This window comes from Homo sapiens, chromosome X, assembly GCF_000001405.40.
Source record: "Homo sapiens chromosome X, GRCh38.p14 Primary Assembly".
Lineage (NCBI taxonomy): Eukaryota > Metazoa > Chordata > Mammalia > Primates > Hominidae > Homo > Homo sapiens.
The window spans coordinates 52044382-52072286 of record NC_000023.11 but is presented as its reverse complement, the minus strand read 5'-3'; the positions used below and the strand labels follow the sequence as shown (position 1 = coordinate 52072286).

The 27905-nt window shown below is 49.0% G+C and overlaps 1 protein-coding gene, 2 long non-coding RNA genes and 1 other non-coding gene across 7 annotated transcripts; 3 read left to right on the top strand and 1 right to left on the bottom strand.

Moving 5' to 3' along the window:
* On the top strand, positions 3015 to 10460 carry MAGED4B (MAGE family member D4B). 4 transcript variants are annotated; one of them, NM_001242362.2, is made up of 14 exons: positions 3015 to 3157; positions 4063 to 4324; positions 4589 to 5422; positions 5834 to 6037; positions 6141 to 6204; positions 6398 to 6477; positions 6866 to 6957; positions 7579 to 7658; positions 7744 to 7786; positions 8178 to 8240; positions 8537 to 8584; positions 9186 to 9300; positions 9623 to 10053; positions 10249 to 10460. In NM_001242362.2, exons 2-14 carry the CDS (start codon positions 4115 to 4117, stop codon positions 10256 to 10258), a joined length of 2274 nt encoding a protein of 757 aa, NP_001229291.1. In that variant the 5' UTR covers positions 3015 to 3157; positions 4063 to 4114; the 3' UTR covers positions 10259 to 10460. The 4 variants fall into 4 exon arrangements, with proteins under 4 accessions (NP_001229291.1, NP_803879.1, NP_803881.1 ...); NM_177535.3 differs by lacking the exon at positions 8537 to 8584 and having other exon boundaries at positions 4114 to 4324; NM_177537.3 differs by lacking the exon at positions 8537 to 8584 and having other exon boundaries at positions 4114 to 4324; positions 9623 to 10065.
* On the top strand, positions 8814 to 8940 carry SNORA11E (small nucleolar RNA, H/ACA box 11E). Its single transcript, NR_102368.1, has one exon. It is a non-coding gene; the product is annotated as a small nucleolar RNA, H/ACA box 11E (small nucleolar RNA).
* On the bottom strand, positions 13805 to 19582 carry LOC105377208 (uncharacterized). Its single transcript, XR_001755855.2, has 3 exons — positions 17617 to 19582; positions 17264 to 17406; positions 13805 to 16731 (listed from the first exon to the last, which is right to left on the bottom strand). It is a non-coding gene; the product is annotated as an uncharacterized LOC105377208 (long non-coding RNA).
* LOC401589 (Putative uncharacterized protein FLJ39060) lies at positions 18032 to 21116 on the top strand. The gene is made up of 2 exons (NR_188270.1): positions 18032 to 18292; positions 19320 to 21116. It is a non-coding gene; the product is annotated as a Putative uncharacterized protein FLJ39060 (long non-coding RNA).
* The last annotated feature ends 6789 nt before the right edge of the window (positions 21117 to 27905 follow it).

Below are 27905 nucleotides of genomic sequence, written 5' to 3'. Positions count from 1 at the left end.
CACAAGAGCAAAAACGTGGAATCAACATAAATGCCCATCAATGACAGACTGGATACGGAAAATGTGGTGCATATACACCATGGAATATTATGCAGCCATAAAGAAGAACAAGGCCGTGTCTTTTGTGGGAACAGGCATGGAGCTGGAGGCTATAAGCTCAGCAAACTAACGCAGGAACAGAAAAGCAAATCCCACATGTTCTCACTTAGAATTGGGAGCTAAATGATAAGAACTTATGAACACAAAGAAGGAAACAACAGACACTGGGGTCTCCTTAAGGGGGAGGGTGGGATGACGGAGAGGAGCAGAAAAGAGATAACTCTTGGATAGTGAGTTCAATACCTGGGTGATGTAGTCATGTGTGCAACGAACCCCCGTGACACGTGTTTATCTATGTAACAAACCTTCACATGTACCCCCAAACATAAAAGTTTTAAAAAATATTACAGTGCAAGTCTATTGATGATCAATTCTTTCAACTTCTGTATGTCTAAACACCTACTATTTTAACTTCATTTGAAAAGATATTCATTGAGTATAGACTTAAGAGTTGACATTTATTTTTATTTCACGATTTTAAAGATGGTGTGCCACATGACTTCTGACTTGCATATTGCTAATGAGAAATGTGCTGTCATTCTTCTCTTTGGACATCTAAATGTTTCTTATGGTTTTCTTCTGATTTTCTAGTTACTTAGGAGAAAGGGTAAATCTCTGGGCGAGCAGATAGGTAAAATGTCAGGAATGCACACCATGGATTCTCTGTGCATAGCACCTTGGACATACTTTAGATTATGCGTGGCAACGTGGAGGCCTCCTGAAAGCACAGGGCTCAGTGAAAAGAAAATTAAGAAATCCGGTGGATACTTGTATTTCCAGCCATGATGGATTAACAGGAACCGGACTTACCGTCTCGCCTAAATACCTATAAACCAAAAAAATTATAAGGCTTAACGTCATGGCACCACCTGCATACGGGACAGTGATCCCTGAGAGAAAGGGAACCTGACCAGGTGAGCCCTCTGATCGCCCAATTCCACCAACTTCTTGCCCGGATAGAGTTTGCAGGCTGCAGCACAGGGGAGCTGAACACAACAGAGCCCGGTGGACCGTCTGAGTGAAGGAGACAGAGTTGAGAGCTCAAGAGGTCCATAGGACCAGAATTTGCCGGGAGTAATGGAGAGAAGACAGCTGCACAGAGAGGCAGCTCTGGAGACCCTTCAGAGCTTGCCCTTCTGGATGCAGCGTATCAGAAACGGGGAGTGGTGATCGATGACTCCCAGTTTCTGGAGTGAGTGGTTGTGTGGATAATGGCGCCATTTACTGAGACTGTGAAGATGGGTTGGGGGGGGGGGGAACAGGAGCGATGGGGATGTGTGAGTGTATGGGAGGAGTGAGTATACCAAGTGACCAGTTTTGGACAGGCAAACCATGAAGAGCCCTTGAGACTTCCAAGTGGAGATGCCACGTAGGTGGGTGAATGTATGTACTTGGACCTCAAAAGTGAAGTTCAGACTGGGGTTGTAGATTTTTTGGAGTGATTAGCACGTAGCACTTTCTGAAGGCTTTCGTTTGTAGGGTGTGTTCCTCTCCCGCAGAGGATATGTTACAGGGGAAGGGCTAAAGAGGCACAAGCAGCTGACAGGAGAGATTGATATATAACAGCTGGAGAAAACCACAGAGCCAGGCAGAATGGATACTGGTCAGCGGAGAGTAAAAGCTGCTGTCCTAGCAATACCTTCCATTCATACACAGGGGTCCTGGTGAGGCTGACATAAAAACAAATATAAAAATCTACTACGAATTTTACAAACAGTCCAGGTTCGACTGCAGATGAGACCACAGCATTTTCTGCCTCAAAAGACATCCAAGTGGAGATGTCACGTAGGCAGGTGAATGTACTATGCACTTGGACCTCAAAAGTGAAGTTTGAACTGGGCTTGTAGATTGTGGAGTAATTAGCTCAGACACACAGGTGTCTAATTGTCCTGGCGGACACCAGGAGGGTCTCAGCGGCAGCGTGATTGTATCGCTGATAAGGAAGAGGCCTGACAATCTGAGTAGAGAGTGGACCCGGTGGAGCAATTCTCATACCTGGATGGACCCACATAGAGCCGCAGAGGCTGGGGGCGAGGCGGGGGGAGGCTCTGTCTCCCTGTGTCCTGAATGCGGAGCATGAACTTAGGCCTTCTACAGCACAAACCTTGCTTCTTTGGGACAGATGTTGGGGTGGGGGAGGCCTGTCACTCAGACGGAGGAGGCGGTGCCTCTGTCCCCAGGCCAGCAGGAGCAGGAGGTGGACTTTGGAGTCCGGAAGACCCAGGTTCAAATTTTGCATTTTCTGTTTCCTGGCTCTGTGGTCTAGTTCATGCAATGTGTCTGTGCCTCAGCTTCCTGACACGCCAAATGGGGATGCTGACATCCACTTCCCAGCGCTGCTGTGAGAGGAAGAAAAGCCCCAGCACAGATCCCTCTGTGACATACAAGCTGCATAAAGGGTAGCTGAGGAAGCAGATGTTCCCAGTATGTCTGGGGGCCAGAGAGTTGGCTAGTGGAGAAGCACACAAAGCGAAGTGCCATCCTCTGGCCATGTCCATTTCGTAGCCCCGCAGGTTGAGGATTTCCACTTGTTGCAGTTAGAGACCCAGCTTATTAATTGTGAGACCTCACTAATTGTGACCTAAGGGGTCTTGCCGGGGAAACGGGGCATAGTGTATCCCAGACCAGGCTGGAGGAGTTTGGGTGAAAGGGCAGGGCAGGACAGAGAAGCATTGTGCAAAAGTGGGGGGACTGAGAAGAGATGATTGGGTGGGTCGAGCTGCACTGCAGGGTATGAGTGTGCGCGCCCGCGGTAGGAGGAGGAGGAGGAGGAGAGGTGAAGTGGATCTGGCGGGAAGAGCCCCCCGCACCCTACCTTCGACCCCACCGCCCACCCACCCGCGGAATCGCATGCGCACTGGAGACCTGGAGGAAAGGGCTTTTGTTGGGAAAGCGGGCGGGCTGGAGGGGTCCGCGCATGCGCAGGCTACCCAGCCGCGGGGGGTGCACGGAGAAAAGGGGCGGGGTGGTCCGGGCTGCTGTGCTGGCAGCAGTAGGCGAGGGCGCGGCTGCGGGGTTCCTGGTGCTGAGGACGGACGCCATTGGAGTTCCCGAGAAGGTAAGGATCCAGCCCCAGACAGGACCGGGAGAGGGCGAGTGGAACCCGACACGCTGCGCCCTCCCTCCGCCTCCGGATCTGAACAAAGCCCAAGCACTCAGAACCGGAACCCCATTAGACCCAAGGTCTAGATAGGAGCCCCCATCACCATCAGACCCAGGCGCCCCGATCTGAGCCCTACTGAAACCGGAGCCCAGGATCCTCACCCCTTTAGCAGACCCGTGTGCTCCGAGCTGAGCTCCCTTGGACCTGAGGCCCCACCCCCACCCCAACCACTCCTAGATTACTCGAACCGAGCTGACCGCTTGCCCCCTTCCTGGAGTGCCCAGTCCTCGCGTTTGAGATCTGCAGCGCTCCGATTGGAGCCTCACCTAGGTCTGAGGCCCCCACTCCATCCGCCTCTAGTGCTCGAGTCTGAGCCCCACCTAGGCCCCCCGCCCGGACCTAGCCAAAGGTCCCTGGGGTTCTGTTTCGCAGAGCTTGCGGCTTGCCACTGTCCCTGTTGTCTGAGCTCTCCCATCTGCTCCCCCTTCATCCCGGTCCCCTTCTCTGGCCCGTAAATCCAAACCCTTTGTTTCTCTCTTCCCCAATGCATTCCCTTTGGGACTCTTCGGACCCCAGCCCTCCAGAACACCCCCTCGTCAAATCTAGCCGCTGGGATGGCGAGCCTGCCCATCCTAAACTCCGCTTTCAGTGCGGCGCCTCCTGCGACCTCCTCTGTCCCTTTCCTTGGGCTCTGTCCCTGACCAGGTCTACCCCATCAGAAAGCCAAACCGTCTCCCCCCCGCTCCTCCTCCCCCCCCCCGCCCCCTACTGCCTAATATTGCCTAGTAACCTGATGATTGTCGCCCCTCACCTCCCGGGAGATCCCGCCTCCCATTGGATCCCGCCCCCTCCCCCTGCAGCTGCTTCACCCTCCCTCTCAGGCTGAGCTCTCATCTCCCTGGGACCCGCAGCATGGCTGAGGGAAGCTTCAGCGTGCAATCGGAAAGCTACAGTGTTGAAGACATGGATGAGGGTAGCGACGAAGTCGGGGAGGAAGAGATGGTTGAAGGCAACGACTATGAAGAATTCGGTGCGTTTGGTGGCTATGGCACCCTCACCAGCTTTGACATCCATATCCTCAGAGCCTTCGGAAGCTTGGGTCCAGGCCTTCGCATCTTATCGGTGAGGCCCCTTCCTGGACACCTGCTGGCCTGGGCCTTTCCCCTGTGAATGGGGGAGGGAGGAGGGGGGAGCCAGGAGGGTTGTGTGGGAAAGGACTGCCCAGCTTCCCAAGCCTTCCCTCCCCTGCTCGGAAGAAGAAGATTTGGGAAGGTCTTGGGGTGTTCAGGGCTGACTGCTGGGAAGAGGCTGGCCAGCACAGGGAAGCTAACACAAGTATGTCGTCGAGTGGCCTGCCTTCCCCAACCCCTCTCTCTGGCCTTGCAGAATGAGCCCTGGGAACTGGAAAACCCTGTGCTGGCCCAGACCCTGGTGGAGGCATTGCAGCTGGATCCGGAAACACTTGCCAATGAGACGGCCGCCCGTGCTGCCAACGTAGCCCGCGCCGCCGCCTCCAACCGTGCGGCTCGGGCCGCTGCCGCCGCTGCCCGTACCGCCTTCAGTCAGGTGGTCGCTAGCCACCGGGTGGCCACGCCGCAGGTCTCAGGAGAGGATACCCAGCCCACGACCTACGCCGCCGAGGCTCAGGGGCCCACCCCTGAGCCACCCCTTGCTTCTCCGCAGACCTCCCAGATGTTAGTCACCAGTAAGATGGCTGCCCCCGAGGCTCCGGCAACCTCCGCACAGTCCCAGACAGGCTCCCCGGCCCAGGAGGCTGCTACTGAGGGCCCTAGTAGCGCCTGTGCTTTCTCTCAGGCTCCGTGTGCCAGGGAGGTGGACGCCAACCGGCCCAGCACAGCCTTCCTGGGCCAGAATGATGTCTTCGATTTCACTCAGCCGGCAGGTGTCAGTGGCATGGCCTTCCCGCGCCCCAAGAGACCTGCCCCAGCCCAAGAGGCTGCCACAGAGGGCCCCAGTGCTGCCTCTGGTGTGCCCCAGACGGGACCTGGCAGGGAGGTGGCAGCCACCCGGCCCAAGACCACCAAGTCGGGGAAGGCGCTGGCCAAGACTCGGTGGGTGGAGCCTCAGAATGTTGTGGCAGCAGCTGCTGCCAAGGCCAAGATGGCCACGAGCATCCCTGAGCCGGAGGGTGCAGCTGCTGCCACTGCTCAGCACAGTGCTGAGCCCTGGGCCAGGATGGGAGGCAAGAGGACCAAGAAGGTGAGATCCCCCTGCCCCCTGCCACCTCCACACCCCCTTGCTCCTGTCCTTTCCTTCTCCTCCCTTTCCTGCTCCTCTCCTCCCTCTCCTCTCCCCCTTCTTCCTCTCTTCTCCTCTTTCCCCTCCTTCTCTCCTCACCTCCCCTCTCCTCCCCTCCTCTCCTCTCAGCTAGTCCATGTTTCTCCAACACAAGTTTGCTGAGCATGTTTTCACTCCACGTAGTCCCTACCCTCAGGACTGGTGGGAGAAGAGGCTGGCTCAGTGCCTGGCACTTAGTAAGCACGCAGCACATGCCAGCCGCTGCTGGTACTGCTCTCATTTCCAAGAGCCTGCTACGGGTGAGGTGCGTGCCGGGTGCTTTGGCACGGGGAGCCTGGTAGCCCTGGGTCTCTCCTCTCTCAAATGATACAGTCCAAGCACCTGGATGATGAGTATGAGAGCAGCGAGGAGGAGAGAGAGACTCCCGCGGTCCCACCCACCTGGAGAGCATCACAGCCCTCATTGACGGTGCGGGCTCAGTTGGCCCCTCGGCCCCCGATGGCCCCGAGGTCCCAGATACCCTCAAGGCACGTACTGTGCCTGCCCCCCCGCAACGTGACCCTTCTGCAGGAGAGGGTAAGAAGCCCACCCTCCCCCATCTCCTTCCTCTCCTCCCTTGTGGGCCACGTCTCTGCTGTCACCCATGCCTTGACCTCCCCGCATGTTCCTCCTTCTCCAGGCAAATAAGTTGGTGAAATACCTGATGATTAAGGACTACAAGAAGATCCCCATCAAGCGCGCAGGTAGGCAGCCTGTGCCCCCTTCACCATCCCCTAGTCTGTGGGCATCCCTTTGCTTGCGTGCCACGGCTGGTCCCTCCATAGCCACAGGACGGGGTCCTGGCTGCGTCACCCTCGGCAGAGCTGACCAAGGGGCTACAGCTCTATGACCCCTGCTCAGCCCAGGTGCTTTCTCCAACTCTTCCCCCTCCTGCAGACATGCTGAAGGATGTCATCAGAGAATATGATGAACATTTCCCTGAGATCATTGAACGAGCAACGTACACCCTGGAAAAGGTGGGTGCAGGATGGGAGCAGCTCTGTGGGGGAAGAGCGGGCATGGGGGTGCGGTGACCCTGCAGCCCCTCAAGGCCCAGTCTCTGGAGCCATCTCTCACCTCTCCGACTCTGAGCTTCCACTGCACTGGCAGTTTGACTCGTGCTTCCTGCCCTCGGCTTCTCTCTCTCATGCTCTCTGAGTGTCTCGCCGTCTGGCCAGGTGGGTCTCATCGCCTCTGCCAGCGTCAGCTCCCACAGCGAAGGTCTTCCGTGTGCTGTCTTCTTCTGCCCTCGCTCACGAGTTTGGATTCCTTGCTGAGGAGCAGTTCTAACCCGGAATCACTGTCTGCCGGCAGGATGCCCAGCATGGGGTTTGGATCTCACACTCTGTTTTCTCCCCCACGTAGAAGTTTGGGATCCACCTGAAGGAGATCGACAAGGAAGAACACCTGTATATTCTTGTCTGCACACGGGACTCCTCAGCTCGCCTCCTTGGAAAGTAAGAAAGGGAAAGCGGGTCGTGGCCTTCCTCGGTGGTGTCCCTTCCCTGCCCACACCCCTTCAGTGAAGCAGGAAGACGGGGCTTGAGTGCGGCGCACCGCTCCCACACACAGCGAGGGCTGCCTGGTGACTGCTGGATGAAAGGAATGATAGCCTGGGGTGAGGCCTTGCTGCCATCAGTTCTCCCCAAGCTGCTGCCGGGCTTTATCCCCAAAGCTTCGGAGGAAAGTGCCTCTTCCTCCTGCCTGCCTGGCCTGGGCCTGGCAGAGCTGGCCTAGGGGAGAGCTGCCTCTTCAGTGTAGGTGCTGATGTGGAAGGGGCAGGAAAGGTCTGGAGCCATCTCTGGGCACACGTTTGCCATTTGCAGAGCTTCGGCTCCCTGCCTCGCCCTGTCCTCTGCAGAACCCTGTCAGGGAAGTGTTAGTACCCATGTTTTATAGAGGAGGCGATTAAGTCTCAGGCGGAGGTGCGAATGGTCTGTCAGCAGCTAGTGAACTGTGCCTGTCCTGGGAAGAGTTCCCCTCAAGCTGGGAAACCTGAGAGAGGCTAGTTGGGAGAGCCTGGTGGTGTCTCTCAGGCAAATAGCTGCTAAACAGGATTTCTCTTTCCACACCTTTAGAACCAAGGACACTCCCAGGCTGAGTCTCCTCTTGGTGATTCTGGGCGTCATCTTCATGAATGGCAACCGTGCCAGCGAGGGTGAGTGGCTGGACCTGCAACTGGGGGGCTGCCCATAGTCTCATCTTCTGGGTGCCAAACTCTCGTACCTCCTCTCCCCTCGCAGCTGTCCTCTGGGAGGCACTACGCAAGATGGGACTGCGCCCTGGGTATGATTGGCCTCTCCAGCTCCTCCCCTCGGTGCTATCCTCTGGCCAAAGAGGTCCTGGGATTGCAATAGCCTGGTGGTCTGGCGCAAGGGCGTGGGGTGCCCTGGGCTCGGTAGAGAGCAAAGGATCTCACCAGGGCGGATGGGGAAGCGGTGCTGGACGCTGCTCAGCCCTCTCTCTGCTCTGTGGCCCCAGATGACATCTAAGAGAGACAGTCAGAGTCAGGGATTCCATCAAATCCCTACCTGGGGCGTCCCTGACCAACAGTCCTCTGGCCTCTGCTGCATGCCCAGGCCTCCACAGCGACTCCCCGGGGGCTGGGAAGTCATAGTCATGCTAGGGAGGGCCCCTGCCACCGTCTCTGCTCATGGATTCCTTTCCTTGCCCTCAGGGTGAGGCACCCATTCCTCGGCGATCTGAGGAAGCTCATCACAGATGACTTTGTGAAGCAGAAGTAAGTATCACCTGAGCTAACTGCGGCTCTCACTCGAGCATCCTTTGTGTGCTGGTCTGGCTGAGAAAGCAGTTCCCTATCCCAAATCTTCAACTGGAGGGATGGGTGCCTCTGACCTGGGAGTGAGTGGCAGTGGGGGGTATGCGAGTGTGTGGGGAGCCGAAGGCCAGGGCGGTCTTGGGAAAAGGGAGCTCACGTCACCTGAGAACACGGTGTGGGGTGTGAAAACGGCCGCCATCACCTTGAGCACCTGCCCTGTAGACTGACACAAGAGTTCCCCCTGGTTTACACCTAAGGAACCCGGAGCTCAGAGAGGAGACGCCTCTGAGCATGGCTCCCAGCTGGTAAGGGCCTCAGCCCAACTCTCCTGATTTTCAGGCCAGGGGCCACCCTCTCCCCGTCCCTGGAGGACTTGCCAACGCACAGGCGCGCATGCACACCAACAAAGGGTCAGGACTTGAGGAGGATGCCTGGAGCACGCTTCTCCTGGCTGACTGTTTCTTCCTCTCCAGTCGTTTCCTCTGGTGGGCCTCTCCAGGGCTCCGCCGGGGTGTGGCCAAGACCCTCGAGGTGGGGTGTGCTCAGAGCAGGGGGCCTGAAGAATGGCTCCTCTGTTTACAACACACCCAACAGGAAGCTGGGGTCATCGTGATGAGGGGCACAAACTTGTGGCCTCCCTACAGACAAATGCCCTACATGTGGACCCCCTGCACCTCCGCATGGCTTCCGGGGAGGACCAATGGCAAAAGGCTTTGAAGGCCTCACTTTTGCAGGCAGAAGTCCTGGGAGTGGGTTTGGGAATGAGTGAAGGGCTGGAGGGGCAGGACAGTCCTCTTCCAGGAGCTGAGCTGCGGCATCGGGTTGAGGAGGGGCCCCCTGGAACCCATCCGTTCAGCAACAGGTCTGCTTGGCTAGCAGCAAAGTTTACTTTCCTCTCATGCCAAGGTACCTGGAATACAAGAAGATCCCCAACAGCAACCCACCTGAGTATGAATTCCTCTGGGGCCTGCGAGCCCGCCATGAGACCAGCAAGATGAGGGTCCTGAGATTCATCGCCCAGGTAAGGGAGCGCCTCTGTTGGGTGCCCGGCACCGGGGGTGGTGCTCTCCACACCTTGCTTGTTTCTTGGTCGAGGCCTCCTTCCCATTACCCCGTATTCCAGTGAGGGTACCAAACACTCACAGAGGCACCTGAGCACCCTACACAAGGTCACAGATGGGGCAAAATCCCAGGTCTGGCACAGGAGAGTAGGAGCCCCCAATCCCTGTGGTCCTGATTTTTGCCATCATTGCACAAAGCACACGGGAGGGGGTGAGGCGGGCCGCGGGTGCTCAGCCAGTGTGGGGTAGCTCTGTGTCTATGCCTGCCCTTTTCCTCCTCAGAATCAGAACCGAGACCCCCGGGAATGGAAGGCTCATTTCTTGGAGGCTGTGGATGATGCTTTCAAGACAATGGATGTGGATATGGCCGAGGAACATGCCAGGGCCCAGATGAGGGCCCAGATGAATATCGGGGATGAAGCGCTGATTGGACGGTGGAGCTGGGATGACATACAAGTCGAGCTCCTGACCTGGGATGAGGACGGAGATTTTGGCGATGCCTGGGCCAGGATCCCCTTTGCTTTCTGGGCCAGATACCATCAGTACATTCTGAATAGCAACCGTGCCAACAGGAGGGCCACGTGGAGAGCTGGCGTCAGCAGTGGCACCAATGGAGGGGCCAGCACCAGCGTCCTAGATGGCCCCAGCACCAGCTCCACCATCCGGACCAGAAATGCTGCCAGAGCTGGCGCCAGCTTCTTCTCCTGGATCCAGTAAGAGTTTCGGTAGAGAAATGAGACTCTGCAGGAGGGCTGCGGAGGGGGGTGAGATGTCAGAGGGAGGGCCAGGGTGGGGGCGCTGGGGGCAACGGCAACAGCATGGACGGACACTTATTTTGTTACGTACACCCCTCCCTGGTTCGCGTGTGTCCACGGATGTTGTCACTTTGGTTTCTTGTGCTTTTATAGGCACCGTTGACGAACTGCAGCGATCTTACTGGCCAAGCCAGAGCGCCTCCTCTCAGATTCCTTCTCGACACAGCACCCTAGGCGGCTTCTTCCTGTCAGTCGGAGGTGGCATGCAAGATGAAGCTCTCTTTGCTCTTCCTGCTTTCATTTTGTGCTTTTCCTTGTGTTTTCATGTTTTGGGTATCAGTGTTACATTAAAGTTGCAAAATTAATTTGGATGTTTCTTCCTTTACCTGCACACCCATTGCTATACCTGGCCACGCTTGGGCTTGTAGCAAGGAAACTTCTTCAGGCTCTCTGGGGTAGGTGGGCCCCACCTCTGCCAAAAAGGCCCACAGGGACAGGTGGGATGCTGGGAGGTGCGGAGGTTGGTTACGCCTGAGTGCGTGAGCAGGAGTTTGGAGAGGCCCCAGTGCTCATCGTTATGTGATTTTCTACAAACCTTGCTCAGCAGCCCCAGGGACATGGCAAGAGTCGGGGCCACAGCAGGGGCGGGGTGGAAAATTGCAGCTTGGTGCCACTGCCCCTCCCGCCGAGGGACAGGGTCCAAGGCTCTCACCAGGACCCACCTCCCACACCCCCTCCTTGGAGATGATGTTCCGGAACCCTTGGCTCATCATCCACACAGTTCAGGACCCCGTCCTCGGTACAGAGTCTGACGGACAATGAGGTGGGCCCCGCAGTGATGTTCGCAGCCCTCCAGTGGGTAGAAGGAGGGGCCGTGATTGCTGAGGGAGCAGGATGTAATAAAAACAACGCACGGTGCACGCGTACACAGCCCCTTGCCTGTGACGGAACGGCGGCCTGTTTGGAGCTTCGCAGCCCTTCTCCCCCAGCAGCAGGGCTCTCCCAGTGAGGACAACACCAGGCCTACCTAGGTCCTGGTGTGTTCAAGGGCTGGGTGATGTCTGGAGGGGTCTGAGGTAGGGCTGCACATGCTTCAGGTACAAGACAGTGAGGGCAGAGACAGTTTGGTCTCCTGGGAAGGGCTCAGTGGCAGGCAGGGACAGTGTCCAGGGCTTCTGGAGTTCCCCGGTAATGTCCAGGGCTTGGGAGGACAGAGCCCTAGATAAGGAGGGAAAACATAGCAGTGGAAGGCTCCCTGCTTCCCACCCCCTCACCCAGCCCCAGCCTCTGTTTCCCCAGGAGGGGCTGCCATCTCCGCCACGGCCAGATCCTGACCCAGACCGGGCTACCTAATTTGGGAGGCCCAGTGGAAAATGAAAACACGAGTCTCCTTGTCAAAAACTATGAAGGATTTCAAAACAACAACAGCAGAGCATGGAGCCACATGGGGAGCCCTGGTGAGCATCAGACTGCATTGGTTGCACACCCCAGAAGCTGTCCGTCAGAAAGGCTTTGGGTGGGTCTCCGTGTTGGCTGCCGCTGTGATTTCTGCTTCTCTGGTGCTTGGGTCCATGCTTGGCCACACTGACATTCTGGGACTCTGACAGAAATCCAGTTCCAAAGTTTTACTGGAACACACACACACACACACACACAATGGAGTCCCCTTCCCTTTATGTCTCCTGGTTTGTGGTCTGGGCTGTGGAAGAGATGAGGGATGCCTGGGACTCCACCACCCCTGGCGTCATAAATTTAATGCTATTTGGCTGGAACCTCCCCGGACACCCTTGTGCACATAGCGGGCACATGCCTGTCCTTGGATCAGGGTGGGGGTAGTCACCATAAGCCACAGGAGTGAGTTTGAACACTGTGTGCAGAGGGCACTTGAGATACGGAAGTTCCACCGGAAAGGAACAGGAAGCAGCCCTCAGAGGTGGGGTGCTGGCCAGGTCACGGCCTCCTCAGGCCTCCAGGCTTGCTGGACACTCTCCCTTTCACATCACCTTGCTGCGGTGGGGCCTCACCAGGGACCCACTCCCCCTACCCTGTAGGGGCAGCGCTGAGAGCACCTGGGAAGAGAGGAGGAGAGCAGGGAGGTGAGAGCACCCTGGTGGGAAATGGGGGCGGACTGGACTGCGCGTCCTGCAGAAGGGTCAGACCGGCCACCCTGGAGACGGCCACCACCTCACTCACATGGCAAACAGGAGACCTAGGCAGGTTTCCCCCCTGCCCCCGGCCTGGGGCCTTCTGCAGACCCCGCACTGCAAAGGCCCACAGTCCATGTCAGCAAGTGTTTTCTGAGGCCCTGCTGTGTCAGTGGACAGCACTCACAGCCTTCTCCCAGCTTGGCCTGCTCCCTCTGATCACCCCTGCCCCAGGCCTGGCGATGGACGAGCATTCGTGCATTCACTTGTTTCCAGTTATTGACATTATGCATAAAGTTGTTCTGAATATTCATGTACAATTTCTCATCTGGGCCTATGTTTCTGTTTCTCGGCCAAGCCCGAGAGGTGGGGGCAGTAAGGCCATTTCATGGTCTCAGCCAACTGAGGCTCCGAGAGGGAAGATGCTCTCCCCAAGTCACACAGCCAGGAAGTGGCAGAGCACAGACTTGAACCTGGGACCCTCTGAGGCCAGGGTGCGTGCACTGGGCCCTGCTGTCGGCCTCCCCTGCCATCCAGGGTCTTGCAGTGTCCTGGGGGTGATACACCCACCTGCTGGGCACTCTCTCCTGACACCCACCCTCGCACCCACGTGCACATACCGCTCCCCATCTCCCTTCATCGTGCATGATTCGCTACCCCTCACGGCTTCCCTGAACGACAGGTTCCACCCTAGGTTTCTGAGGCCTGCCACCGCCCTCCCAGCCTCCTGAGACATCAGGTTGGGTGCTTTCCTTCCTGGGCATCCATCCTGCTGCTCCTCCTTGTTTTTGTCGTCATCAGGCCCTGGGCCAAGGGCGTTTTGCCCACTACCTCGTGACACCCTCAAAGATCGTCTGAGCTACTACTGTGCACTTGAGGAAACAGACTCAGAGAAGGGAGGTGACTTGCCTGAGATCTCTGACCCAGCTTTGCCGCTGCCTCCACTAGTGACCTTGGCCCAGCCTCTTCTCTTGACCAGTTGCATATCGTTCCGTGTTGCATGTGAAGAACCATTCACATGGTTTGCACATTGATTATCATTTGTCGTCTTAATACTGAATTATAAGAGTGCTTTTTTGCGTGCAAACTTTTCCATTGTCGGGTAGTATATATTGCAAACATTGCCGCAATGAATGGTTTGCTTTTTCATTTCGCTAATGATGAAAAGCCAGATTTCTAAATTTGATGAAATTCACTTAAGGTGTTTTTGCATGGCTATTGCTTTCTGTGTCATAGCTATAAGAGTCCTTCGCCTACAGCAAGTTTTTCAAGGCTTTATCCTGAATTCTCTTCCAGAGGTCTTATGCTTTAGCTTTTTTGTTGACATTTAGGATCTTCACAAACTTCAGAAGTTTGAAATCATACCAATTATCTTTTCTGACCACAATGGAATGAAACTAGAAAGCAATACCGGAAGGAGAATTGAAAAAGTCACAAACAGGTGGAAATTACAACACTCTCTTCAACAACCAGTGGGTCAAAGAACAGACCACAAGGAAATTAGAAAGTATCTTGAGACACATGACAATGAAAACACCACATACCACAACTAAGGAGATGCAGGGAAAGCAGTGTTAAGAGGGAAGTTTATTGTGGTAAATCCTTACAGTGAAAAAGAAGAAAGATCTCAAATCAACAGCCTATCTTTGTGTTTCGAGAACTAGCAAAGGAAGAACAACGTAAACCCGAAGTTAGCAGAAGGAAGGAAGTAATAAAGATTAGAGCACAAATAAAGGAAATGGAGAATAGACAAATAATAGGAAAAAAAAAACAATGAAACTAAGAGCTGGTGTCTCTGAAAAGGTCAACATAGGTTAAGCAGATTAAGAAAAAAACAGAGAAGGGTCAAATAACTAAAATCAGAATGACAGAGGGGCATTACAATTGTTACTACAGAAATAAAAAAGATTATAAGGAGAAGACCAGGAACAACTATACCCCAACAAATTTGATACTTTAGAAGAAATGGATAAATTCTGAGAAACGTACACGCTGCCAAGACTGACTCCTGAAGAAATAAAAAATCTCAGCAGATCTCGACAACTCATAAGGAGACTTAACCAGTATTCATCAACCTCCCAACAGAGAAAACCGCAGGACTAGATGGCTTCAGTGGAGAATTCTACTAAACAGTTAGAGAAGAACTAGGACCAGAAACGCGCGCGCACACACACACACACACACACACACACTTCCCAAAAGAATGTTTGTGCATACATATTCAACAAAAGTCTAGCACACCGAGTTCAACAACACATGAAAGGCCCATGACCACGTGGGATTTATTCGTGGAATGCAAGGAAGTTTCGATCAATGAAAATCAACTAATTTAGTGTACGGCATCAACAAAATGAAGGACAAAACCACATGATCGGCTCAATTGATGCACTAAAAGCATCTGACAAAAGTCAACCCCCTTCGTGATAAAAACACTCAAACTCCTTGAAACAGAAGGAAACAACCTCAACGTCACAAAAGTCCTATATAAAATACTCATTGTGAACACTGTACACGATGGCGAAAGAGTGAAAGCTTTTCCTCTAAGATCAGGAGCAAGACAGAGATGCCCGCTTTTGCTACTTCTTCTCAACATAGTCCCGGAAGTTCAGAGGGCAATTAAGCAAGAAAATGAAATAAAAGGGCATCCTTTTTATTTCACTTCATTTTATTTTTAGAAAAGGCATCCTTTTTATTTCCTATTTTCTAAATAACCCATAGCTCAAGGAAAACATCACCAATGAAATCGCAAAGTATTTTGAACCTGATGAAATCTTATGGGATATATTTTAATTGTCTAGATTGCATGAAAAAGAAAGGCACAACATTTGCATCTTTCTTAACCATGTTGAACAACAGATTAAACCTGAAGAAAGCAGAAGAAATGAAATAACGATAAAAGTACAAATCAGTTAAAGATAAAACAACACAGCCAGAGGTGGTTTTTTGAAAAGATGATGTGATTAAGACATGCCTTGTGTAGGCCTGAACAAAAAGGAGAGAAATCATGAAGCAACCCGTGTCTGGAGTGGCTAAGGAGACATCACTATGGGCAATGAAGGCATTAAAGAGATCATTATTCAAAACCATGAGCAACTTTATGCCCACAAACGTGAAACTTTGGATATAATTTACACATTTCAAGAAAATACAACAAAATGACAGAAAACAGACTAAACATCTGAATTGTCCTACAAATTCTAAACGGGCGGAATCTGAAGGAAACAACAGCAACAGCCACAAGAACCTACGGACTCTGATGCTGCCACCGATTAATTCTACAAAACGTTTGTGAAGGAAGGAATATCAATCTTACCTTCTTGCCAAGTAACATAAAAAACGGGAAATGCTTCCCATCCCGTTTTATGAGGGAAAAACCTTAAAGGGCATGGTAAGAAATGAAATGCACAGGCCTATCTTTTACATAAGCACAGAAGAAGAAATCTTGAATAAAGCATTAGCAAAACAAATCAGTTAAATCTCCAAAAAGGAAAACGTATCACAAACAAGTCAAGAGTATTCTAGAAATGAAGCGGTTCAGCGCTTGAAAAATCTATCTCTCAGAAGTAATGTATGAAGGAGAAAAAATATGATATTCCCTACAGACGCAGGAAGGGTATTTCATGGGTTTGATTTTTTTTAAATGACCATGCACTTATGATAAAACCTCTTAGCCAACTACGAACAAAAGGGAAGTCTCTTGATTCCGTTGGAATATATTTTAAAAGCCTACAAAAACAACGATACTTACGGGTGACATGTTGACAGCTTTCCCTCTGAGATCAGGGGGAAAAAAAAACCAGATACATCCACTGTCACCACTTACAGTGCCATGAAGGAAGAAAAAGTAATCAAAGCAGTCCTGCAAGCACAGCCTTAAATGCATACGCATGTTAACCAAAGGACATCCTTGTGAACGTGCACCACAATAATAACACTAACACTCCAGCGCTGGAAACTACTGAAGAGCCCATTAGAAATAAAAGGCATGAATAAATTGTGGCATCGTCATACAATTCAAAACACTGCGCAGGAATGCAAAGAAACGAAATTCAGCTACACAGCACGACAAAAGTGAATAGCAAGGAGAAAAACCTAATGTTGCCAAGAGAAACCCGGATTATAAAATACGTACTGTACTGAGTCTACTCATGTGTAATGCGTTCACAAACAGGCAGGATTATCGTCAAGTGTTAAAAGTCACAAGAGTGGTTAGATTTGCTGAGGTGGAAGACAAGAGTGACTGGCATGAGAGTGCTTTTGAGCTGCCGGCAATACACTACACCATTTCTTAACCCAGATCGTAGGGGATCAGACGTCCCTGTGGAACCATTTACTGAGTGGTACCCTCATTTTGCGTGCAACTCCATTTTTGTATTATATTCCATTACAGTGTACATAGAGATATTTAAATGAATACTATCCCAGGAATGTCCATAAACAATGGATTCTTCAGCGATTTGTATATTCTCTGACCACAATGCCACAATGGGATCTAGAAATTAATAACAAAAGATCATTACAAACCCCCGTATATGTTGGTAAATTAAGAAACATCCTCCTAAGTAACCCATGGCTCTAAGAAAAACTAACGTTGAAATAAGAAAATATTTTGAGCTTACTAATGAAGCAAACTCCAGAGGTCTTTGCCTGCCAATATTACTAAGTCTCCTCTCTGGGGAAGTTTAGATTACACAGGAAGACTCTCCTGCATCTCTGAGAAGGGGCAAGATGCCAGCAATCTGGACGCCAAACTCCAGCGGAGGTGAGGGACTGAAGATTGCTGTAGACAGCAACTGAAATCCCTACGCCGGGTTGGGATGTATGCCTTGAAGTGAGCCTGAAGTTCCAAAGCCCATAAATCTGCTGGTTCATGCTCTGCAGAGAGTACATTTGTCCGCCATCTCCCAGAGTGGGGGGAGAGCGATTTGTCATGCTACGAGGAGCTGAGAGGGGATCTGGGCGTCTAAGTGATTTGTAAATACACTTTCTAGAGCAATCGTGCAATTTACAGCCCCCACCATTACCAACAACGTGCCGGGATACGTGGCAATGCCAGTGTTGCAGACAGTTGGAAGGTCTGGTGAGAGGGGATAAGTCAGTTGCTTTCCTGCCATCCTCACTGCCAGTTGATGCTCAAGCTCTCTTGGCAACACAAGTGAGACTCCGTCTGTAAAAAAACAAAACATAAAAAAAAAATTAACATGTACTCCCAGCTACTCTGGAGGCTGTGGCTGGAGGATCCCTTGAGCTCAGCAGTTCGAGGCTACAGGGAGCTATGATCATACCACTGAACTCCAGCCTGGGCGACAGAGCGAGAACCCCCCACACCCTCAAAAAAGATCAAGCTCTCTTAATCAGCTAAGTCAGTGTCACTCACCTGTTTCCTTCCCATCTTCTGCTACTTTCTTTCTCTTGTCTCCTCAGCCAGTTTCTTTGTCTTTATGGGGTAAAGCCTTAGGAGAAAAGGATGCAGCCAGGAAAGAGGGAGGGGGAAGAGAGGTGAGAAGTGAACGTGAGAAAGAGAAGGGGTGAGTGAAGTACATGACCAAAGGTGCCCTGGGGAAGCTGGGAGCAGGAACAAGGGTCCCCGGGCGAGTTGAAACTACCCCTCATGCTCTTTGGTCTGTTGGGTGCTCAGGTTGCAGGAAATGGGCATCCGGTTGGACTTCATGAGAACTCACACCTTGGGGTGTGGAGGGCAGGACACCATGAGAGGAGTCCCACCCTGCTGCAAAAGATAGAAGAGGAGAGTTGCCCCCAACATAAAAGGGAAGGCAGTGACAGAAAGAGGCAAGCAGAGGATGGTGGATGGCAGAACAAGGACTATCATCAATGACATTTTCTTCACTGAGCCCACCCCAGAAATGAGCTCCCTTCCTGTGCGCTCTCACAGCTCCTTGTCGTTGAATCTCGTATCACTGATGGTAATTTGCAGAGGAATAATTAAGTTGGTGATTCACTTTAGGATGTACTGCCCTCCGAGGCTGAAAGCTAAACACATAGAGCCCACGTTACGCCCAGTACCACTTAAGGAACTGCGGATTAGTCACTGGGTGAGTATCAGGGGAGGGGAGGGCGGGGAGGGTGAGGGGAGGGAACGGCATAGAGAGAAGGAAAAAGCAAAATGAGGGGAAAACCAGGGGAGGACAACATGAGAAAGGAAAGAGGGAGAGAAAGGGCAGTGAGGGATATGGGAACTCGGAGGGAGGACAAAGGGAAAGACAAGGCATGGAGGAGAGAGAGCAGAGAGGGGAGATGAGAGGTGATGACAGAGGCTGAAGTGAGGTAGGAAGAGAGAGGAAAGAGGAAAGGAGTGTAGAGGAAATGGATGAGGGAGTAAAGAGAAAGGAACAAGGGGAGAGGTCCTTTACCAAAGGGTGATTGATGAGCAGGGGGCAAGAAGAAGGGGCAGCGAGGGAGAAAGGGAAAGGAGGAGAAAACTGCCAGCTTTGAGAACTCTACCCTGCCCCTGGAAAGAGGGGATCCCCATCCCAGGTCAACCTGGGGCTCCCCATGGGACTATCTCAGAGGGAGGAGCTGGATAAGCCAAGAAAGAGCAAAGGGTGCACGGGACCACTCTTGCCTTGCTGCATGTGTCATTCAGGGCCTTCCCACCCAAACAGGGGGACTGGTCACATCAACAGCCACCTCTGCTGAATCCAAGCTCTGCACCGGATCCTCCTTTCCCCTGCCAGATACGGGTTTCAACAAGCAAATTTAAGGGAATCACTCCCCTTCCTGGGATCCCTCCCTGACTGTATCAGTTGCAACCCCTTTCATGGTCACAGAGGCCTGGCCTCTCCCACAAGAACCCTATGGGCCAGCCAGTGCGATGCTCTGTACATCGTATCTGTTCAGGATGAAGCCTGTGTGTGTGTGTGTGTGTGTGTGTGTGTGTGTGTGTATGGGGTGGGGGTGTGTGGGATGTGTGCGTGTGTGTGTGTGTGTGTGTGTGTACTAATAATCACAAGGATCAATATATCTGTGGGAATTGTGAATTCTTTCAATGTGACTGCCTTGCTAGAATCCCCTCTCCCAGGGGCCTTTATTTCAAGGACCAACTCTGCTTTTCTCCCACAGCCCAATGAATGCATCAGACACTCAGCTTCAGTTCCCATGGCAACAGGGGCTAATGGCCTAGAGACTAAAGATGAGACAAAGAGAAACGCAGAGAAATGTGCGTGTTCTGTCTTCCTCTGAGGTACGCAAGCCCCTATTCAGGGATTGAAAAGAACATTCGCTTTAGTTCTACCCTGCCCTCCCCTCAATGCTGGGTGGAGGAGGGCAGAAACGCAGACGGGCCTGACATGAATCCAGAATTTCTACATCCTCTCAATGCACCTGCACGGTTTGGAGACAGGCTTCTTTGTCCCCGAGCCATCATGTTACCAACAATGTATTGTACCTGCAAACCATGCCTGTGGAACCTAGGATTCCTGCTACCCCAACTCACCTTCCTCTTTACCACCCTCTAGCCTCTATCACAGTAGGGGAGTTTTTTCAGTCATTCCTATTTTCTGACAGAAAGTTCCAGCCAGCCCAATTTCAGAAGCGCTGTCTCAGGAGGGCTCCCTGATCCTTCCTGCCAGAGTCACACAGGACACACCTCCTCCCTCTTCTCCTCTGTGGCCTGGGAGACCTCTGCCCAGACCATGGGACAAGTTCCTAGGGCTCCCCCTTCCTGCCACACTCCTGTTCCGCCAGGGCCTTGGGGAGACTCAGACGAGGGAGGTTTCTGATAGTCTCCCACTTCTGGAAGCAGCCAAACTAATGAGAGGCCTCTTGCCTGCCCCTCTTCCTGAGAAGCCCACCACCTCCTGTGTATTGACTCCCCTTACCAGAGGCTGGACAAACAGCGTGCCAGGCCCGACATGAGACGTCCCACACTATAAATTTGTGATAAACAACAACTCAAAAGCTGGGCATATGCCCCCAACTTTCCCTCCCTTCTTTCCATTTATTCCAGTGAGTCTCAGAAGTCCCTTTGTCCAGCTGCACTCTCCTCTCCTGGGACCCAGCTGCCCTCCATTTCCCATGTCCTGGAACCCCTCAGTCCAAAATACCTAAGTAAACTCGTCTTCACTGCAATGTGCAACCCACACCCACAGCCATGCCCTACGCCAGAAGGAACCACATGAAGTTCTGCCCATCTTCCTGACCTCCACGGATGTTGCGCGACATCCAGTCTCCTCTGGGTCAGGGGGTTTGTCTCATATGCACTCCTGAGTGCCCACCTGCCAGTGACTCCCCTGTGTTTCACACCCCTCTCGGGGGATCTCAGATCCACTCGGCTCCTGGTCTCTGTCTGGATGACCACGACCAGTTTCCCTTGGAGAAGGACCAATGGGGAATGGCAATGCCAGGAAGGCAACGCTTCGCTTGACTGCTCTGCTCCTTAAATCCCCAAAAGCACCACTCACAGGACTGTAGACGCTATGCCAGTTACAGACTTCAGCGAAGGGTCAATAGTGACTACATGAAATTATAGTGGAACAAACTACTAGTGAGCGATGGCTAAGCATCCATGCTGCTAGAATCCAAAAAGAATCACCCATCCCCTGCCTCCCACGGAAAAGATAAGGTCTTCTGAGGACATTCCATTTCCGGTGAATTCCCGTTCATGGCTTTTCTTCCTGTTTTGAGCACTGCCCTTTTCTCTCCCTGGAAAGAAGGAAGTCCCTCCATTAATCTGCTTCATTGTAGGGATTTCTTTATCTCTCAGTAATGGGATCTGTCTATGTCTCCACCTCCCTGTGAACATGTGAACACCCAGAGACAATCACCAAACACTAAGGAGCTATGAGTGTCACATCATAATCCCTCACCTAGCTCTGCGCAGTGGCTCACACCTATAACCCCAGCTATGCAAGACACCGAGGCAGGAGGATTGGTTGAGGCCAGGAGTTGGACACGAGCCTGGTCAATGTAGCGAGACCTCATCTCTAAAATTATAAAAATAGAAAAAATTAGCCTTATATGGTGGCACGCATCTGTGGTCCCAGCTACTCGGGAGACTCATGCAGGAGGATCACTTGAGCCCAGGAGTTTGAGGCTGCAGTGAGTTATGACAGCACCACTGCACAGAGCTTTGGGAGGCTGCACTTTGAAGGCAGGAGTTCAAGACCAGCTTGGGCATCACAGCGAGACCCCAACTGCAGAAAAAAAATAAAATTAAATTTAAAAAAATTAAAAATATCTCTGACCGATACATTTCTCAAAATTTGAATTTGTCAGTTTACATTAACCTTCGTTACTCAGCCTGGATCCTATGGACTTCAAACTTCATTTCCTCATCCTCTGGACATCTCTGCCCTGCCAATCCCTCATTCTCAATTTGGCCATCCCCGGGGATGGAGGTTATCAGCATGGCTTTAACTGAGAGCATGAAGCATGGGGCTGGTGGCTCATATTTTTAACAAAGCCAGCCTCTCTGGTTGACCCCATCTTTACCCCTCACTGTTTCTCACAGTTTGAATTCCTGCAGATGTCCACTGTTTCTCTGCATCTTCAAATTCTTCTGCTCCAGTGGCTATTCCCCTCAGCATACAATTACGCTCCACTGTCCTCCATTTTAAACAAATACCTTCCCTTGGCGACACTTCCCTACCAGCTGTTCTCCCACATACCTGCTGCCTTTCACAGCAAAACTTTTCTGGTAAGTTGTCTGAACAGGTTGTCACCACTTCCTCATCTCCACCTCCGATGTCTTGCATGGCCTTCTGTCCTCCAATATGCTTTTTTTCTTTTTCATGCTCTTTAGTAACTTACATGATGTCAAATCCAATTATCATCCCTCTGACCTGGCTTGCCCTCTTAGTAGCATTGAACGTGCTGGCCACTATCGGTCTCTTGAGATCTTGTGGATTCCATGAAACCATCTTCTTCTGGTGATCTTCCTTCCAGGATAGATCCTATTCTTTGAGTTGTTTCCTGGCTCCTCTTCTTGTAAACTCCTCTACTTTTTGATATGCTCCAGATTGTGGCCTTGTTTCCTCCTTTTCTACATTTTTTTCTCGAAGAAATTTCCTTTCACTTTACAGATGTAAATAACACCTACATCTGCCACCTCCTGTGTCCATCAGAATGTTTGGTTAGCAACAACAGAAAAACACTCACGATTGCTCAACCAAAAAAAAAAAAAAAAACAAACAAACAAACCTGATGCAAGAATATCAGGTTGCACACGAAGTCAATAAGAGGGCTGCATAACCAGAATTGGAAAGCAGGTAGGATCCACGGGAGTCTGAGACATAGAAACAATCACAAAGGTCATGCCTGAGAAATAGCTTTGTTTTGACATTGTTCTTGCAACCTTGCTACTCTGCCAGAGAGGCCGCTTTGGAAGCCTCCTACCACATTTAATTTTTCAGCCTTATGGAAGTCTTCGTATAGGTTTCGTTTTGTAATAATTCAAAAATATCCCTCCAACTTGTATCCTAATATACTAGCATGTATGTTAACTTAGGAATAAGTTATGAACATTTTGAATTCCTTCAGAGATTCTTTCCTCCTTCATTAAAAGAAACAGCTTTATTGAGATATAATTCAGATACCACAAAGCTCACCCTTTTAAAGTGTACCGTGCAGTGGTTGTTAGTATATTCCAAAAGTTGAGCAACTCCCATTCCGTAGGTGGCCTTTTCACCGTGTTGATTGTTTCATTTGGTTCACCATAGGTTTTTGTTTTCGTTTTTGGTTTTTGCTTTCATTTTATTTTATTTTTTATATATATATATATATATATATATTTATTATACTTTAAGTTCTAACGTACATGTGCAAAACGTGCAGGTTTGTTACCTGTTGGTGTGCTGCACCCATTAACTCGTCTTTTGCATTAGGTATATCTCCTAATGCTATCCCTCCCCCCTCCCCCCTCCCCCTACCCACAACAGGCCCCGGTGGGTTCACCATAGGTTTTTGGTTCGACTTAGTCTCACCAGTCTAACGTGGCTTTTTGTTGCTTGTGCTTTTTGTCATATTCAAGAGATAATTTCCAAGTCAAATGCCATGGAACTTTTCACCTATGTTCTCTTCTAGGAGATTTACAGGAAAAGATATTTGAAAAGGATATATATGATAAGGGATTAATATCCAAGCTATACAAGGAACTCCTACAACTCAATACCAAAAAAGAAGACAACAAACTGACTAAAGAATGGGCAAAAGACTTGAATAGACATTTCTTCAAAGAGGACATGCACATGCCCAACAGTATATGAAAAAGTGCTCAACGTCACTACTCAGCAGAGAAATGCAAATCCAAACCACAATGAGCTATCACCTCACACTTTGAACGATAGCTATTATCAAAACAAAAAAGAAAGAAAGAAGAAAGAAAGAGAAAGAAAAAAGAAAGAGAAAGAAAGAAGAAAGAAAAAGAAAGAAAGAAAGAAAGAAAGAAAGAAAGAAAGAAAGAAAGAAAGAAAGAAGGAAAGAAAAGAAAGAAAGAAAGAAAGAAAGAAAAGATAACAAGTGTTGTTTTGGAGAAGATGTGTAAAAATTCCAACACGGGCACACTGGAGTAGGCACATAAAGCGGTGCAGCCACTATGGAATACACCGTAGTGGTTCCTCAAAAAATTGAAAATAGAACGACCATGTGATCTGGCAATCCCACTTTTGGGTATATATCCAAAAGAATTGAAATCTGGACCTCGAAGGGATATATGCACTCCCACCTCTATTGAAGCATTACATCTAACAGTCAAAATTTAAAAACAATGTGGAAACAACCTAAATGTTCATCGACAGATGAATGGATATTAAAAATGTGGTATACACATAAAATGGGACATTATTCCACTTCCATGAAGAAGGAATTCCTGCCATCACACCCAAATAATGTGGGTTCTAAATATTTCAGCTATCTAAAATAGTCAAATTTAAAAACCAGAGTGCAGTGTCGGCTGCTTGAACCTGGAGGGAGGGGGAAACAGGGAGTTGCTATTCTATGGGTATAAAGTTTCCGTTGTGCCAGGTGAATACATTCTTGAGATCTCCTGTACAACCCTGTGCCTATGGTTAAGAATATGGTATTTTGCACTTAAAATTTTAGTGAGGGCGGATCTCATGTTACGTGTTCTTAGCACAATAAAATAAAATTTAAAAAACGGAAAAGTTGTGCAACTATCACAACCATGTAATTTAAGAACTTTTTTATTCAAAAAACACGCTGTATGTATTTAAGTGACCTAATCTCCCCTCTTCTTCAAACCACTGGTACCCTCTGATCTATCTTCTGGCTCTCTGATTTTGCATGTAGTGAATGTTTCCTATAAATCAGATCATACAATGCGTGACCTTTTGGACCGGCTTCTTTCAGTAAGCACTATGTTTTCCAGATTAATCAATGTTGTGGCTCGTACATTCCATTAACTACCATATAATGATACTACATATTGGTTACTCATTCAACTGTGGATGGACTTTTAGATTCTTTCACTTTTTGGCTACTATGGAGGAGGCTGTTATGGACACTCTTGTACAGGATTTTACCTGAGTTATTTTTTGAAATCTCTTGGGTGAACACCTGGAGTGGACTTGCTGGGTCATAAAGGAACTCTTACTTTTGGAGGAACTGCTGCACCCTCTCCCAAAGTGATTGGGCCATCTTACAATCCCATGAGAAATGTCTTAAGATTCCAGTTCCTCCACAACCTTGCCAACATTTGTTATTGTCTATCTGTTTGATTTCAGCCATCTTAGTGAGTGGGAAGTGGTATCACAACGTGGATTTGACTTGCACTTCCCTAATGACTAATGACACTGAGCATCTTTTCTTGAGCTTATTAGCCATTTGTACATGTTCTTTAGAGAAATGTCTATTGCAATGCTTTGCCCACTTTTATTTGGGCTGTGTGTCTTTTTTATTAGGCAGTCGTAAGTGTTTAGTAGATATTGCAAATAGAGTCAAATATGAGATATATGATTTTCCAATCTTTTCAATCATCTCATAAGTTGTCTTCCCTGTCCTTGATGGTGGGCTTTGAAGCACAAAAGTATTTAATTTTAATGAAGTACAATTCCTCTGTGTTTCATGTTTTTCACCCGTGATATGGGTACCATATCTACAAAGCCAATTCCAATTTCAAGGTCATGAAGGTTATCCCCAAAGTTTTTTTCCAAAAGTTACATAGTTTTTTTCCCCTTAGGTTTATGTCTATCATTCATTTTGAATTAATTTTCAGGCATGGCATGAGATGGTGGGTCCACTTCATTCTTCTCCATGGGCATAACCATTTGTCCCAGCACCGTTTGTGGAAAATGCTATTCTTTCTCACTTTGAGTTGCCTTGATACACTTGTGGAAAATCAACTGAACTTAAAAGAAGAGGTTTATTTCTAAAATTTGCATTTTTATGACACTGATATATATATGCCTAAATTTATGCCAGTACCACAACACATTGATTACTGTAGCTTTGCAGTAAGTTTTGAAATAGAGACGTGTGAGTCCTCCATCATTGCTCTTTTTCAAGATTGTTTTGGCTTTTCTGGGTCCCTTGCGTTGCCAAGGGAATGTCAGAATCAGATTGTCAATTATGGCAAGAAGATCCTGGTGGGATTTGAAACGGTGAGTATGTTGTATCTATAGATCCACTTGTGGACTGTTACTATTTTAATGATACACAGTCTTCCCCGTCCATGTGTAAGGGACACCTTCACATTTCTTTAGGTCTTCTTTAATTTCTTTCAATAAGGTTTTGTAGTGTTCTGCGTACAAGTCTTACACTTCTTTTGTGGAATTTATTTCTAACTATTGTGTTTCTTTGGATGCTATGATAAGTGGAATTGTTTTTAAAGTGTCCTTTATTGGATTATTCATTGGTAGTACAAAGACATAAAATTGTATGTTTTACATTGATGTAGATATTATATGGAATAAATTCAATGACTCGTCCTGATAGTATTTTCTTTTCCGGCTTCTTTAGTGTTTTCTATGTACAAGATAATGTCATCTGTGAGCAGAGAGAGTTTTACTTATTCCTTTCAAGTCTGGAGGTCTTCTATCTCTTTTTCTTGCCTAAATGCATTAGCTAGAAGCTCCTGTACAATGTTAAATAGAAATGGTGAGAGCACACATTGTTGCTTGTTGAGGGTGAAAGTTTTCAGCCTTTCACCATTAATCATGATGGCAGTTGTGAGTTTTTGGTAGAGTCTACTGAGTTGCAGAAGCACCTTTTTTCTCCAGTTTCTTCATATTTTTTTAATTGTGAAACGGTTTTGGATCTGTCACAAGTTTTTTCTGTGTCTACGGAAACGATAATATGGGGTTTTTATTTGGTTAGTGTGGTATATTATATTGATTGATTTTTGTACGTTGAACCAACTTTACATTCCTGGAGCAAGTTCCACTTGGTCTTTGTGTAAAATCTGTGTGTGTGTGTGTGTGTGTGTGTGTGCACGTGTGTGTGTTGCTGGATTAGGTATGTGTGTAATTTGTGGAGGAGATTTGTGTATACATAACAGATATGCATCTGTAATTAGGTTAGTTATTTCCTTCTGATGCCTTGTCTAATTTTGGAGTTTGGTTAAAGTTGGGCTCGAAAAACTAGCTGGGAAGGGCGCCCTTCTGTTCTTGAGCAATCTTGTGAAGCTTTGGTGTTAAGTGTCCTTTAAATATTTGGTAGAATTCCACCAGTTAACCCTGGACTTTTCTTTGGGGGAATATATTTGTTAGTAATTCAATCCCTTTACTTGTTGTAAATCAATTCAAATCTTCTACTTCTCCTTTAGGCAGTTTCAGTAATTTGTGTGTTTCTGGACATTTGTCCTTGTCACAAGATTATCTAATTTGTTGCCATGCTGTTGTTCACAGTATTTCCCATAACCTTTTTATTTCTGTAAGATTGTATTAATATCCTATATTCTAGTTTTGATTTTTGTAATATGCATCTTTTCTATTCTTTCTTAGTCTAGCAAAAGCATGTCAATTTCGTTGATCTTTGTTAATGAACCAACTTTTGGTTTGGTTAATTTTCTCTATTATTTCCTATATTCTTTTTATTTATATCACTCTAACAGTCCTTATTTCCTTCCTTCTGCCTGTTTGGGGTTAGTTTAATTTTCTTGCTCCTGTGTCTTAACATAAAAATTTAGAAGAATTTTTTGAGAGCACTACTCTTTTTTCAATATAGGTGTTTATAGCTATACATTTGCATCTAAGAGCTAATTTAGCCACATCCTACAAGGCTGGGATCTTGTGTGCATCTTTCTCCCTTCAGTTGTGTCCATTTTTGCTTCGTGTATTGTGGGGCACTATTGCTATGTGTCTATATATTTTTATAAAAATCTTTATATCTTCTTGATGGATTGAGCACTCTACCGTGATAAAACGTCCTTCTCTGTATCTAAATCGAATTGTTGTCTTAAAGTATATTTTTGTCTCAGAGAATATTAGTAGAGCCACTCCAACTCTCTTTTCATGATTGTTTCCACACTATACTTTTCCACGCTTTTATTTTAAGCAATTTATGTCTTTGAAAGTAAAGCACACCTCTTCAAGATAGCATGTAACTGGAGCATTTAAACAAATCTGTTCTGCCAATCTCTCCTTTTGGTTTTGTTGAGGGCATTTTCTTCTACATTTATAAAAGATATTGTTCTGTAGTATGCTCTTCTTGGGATGTCCTCTTCTGCCTTTGGTTTCTGGGTAATATTGGTCT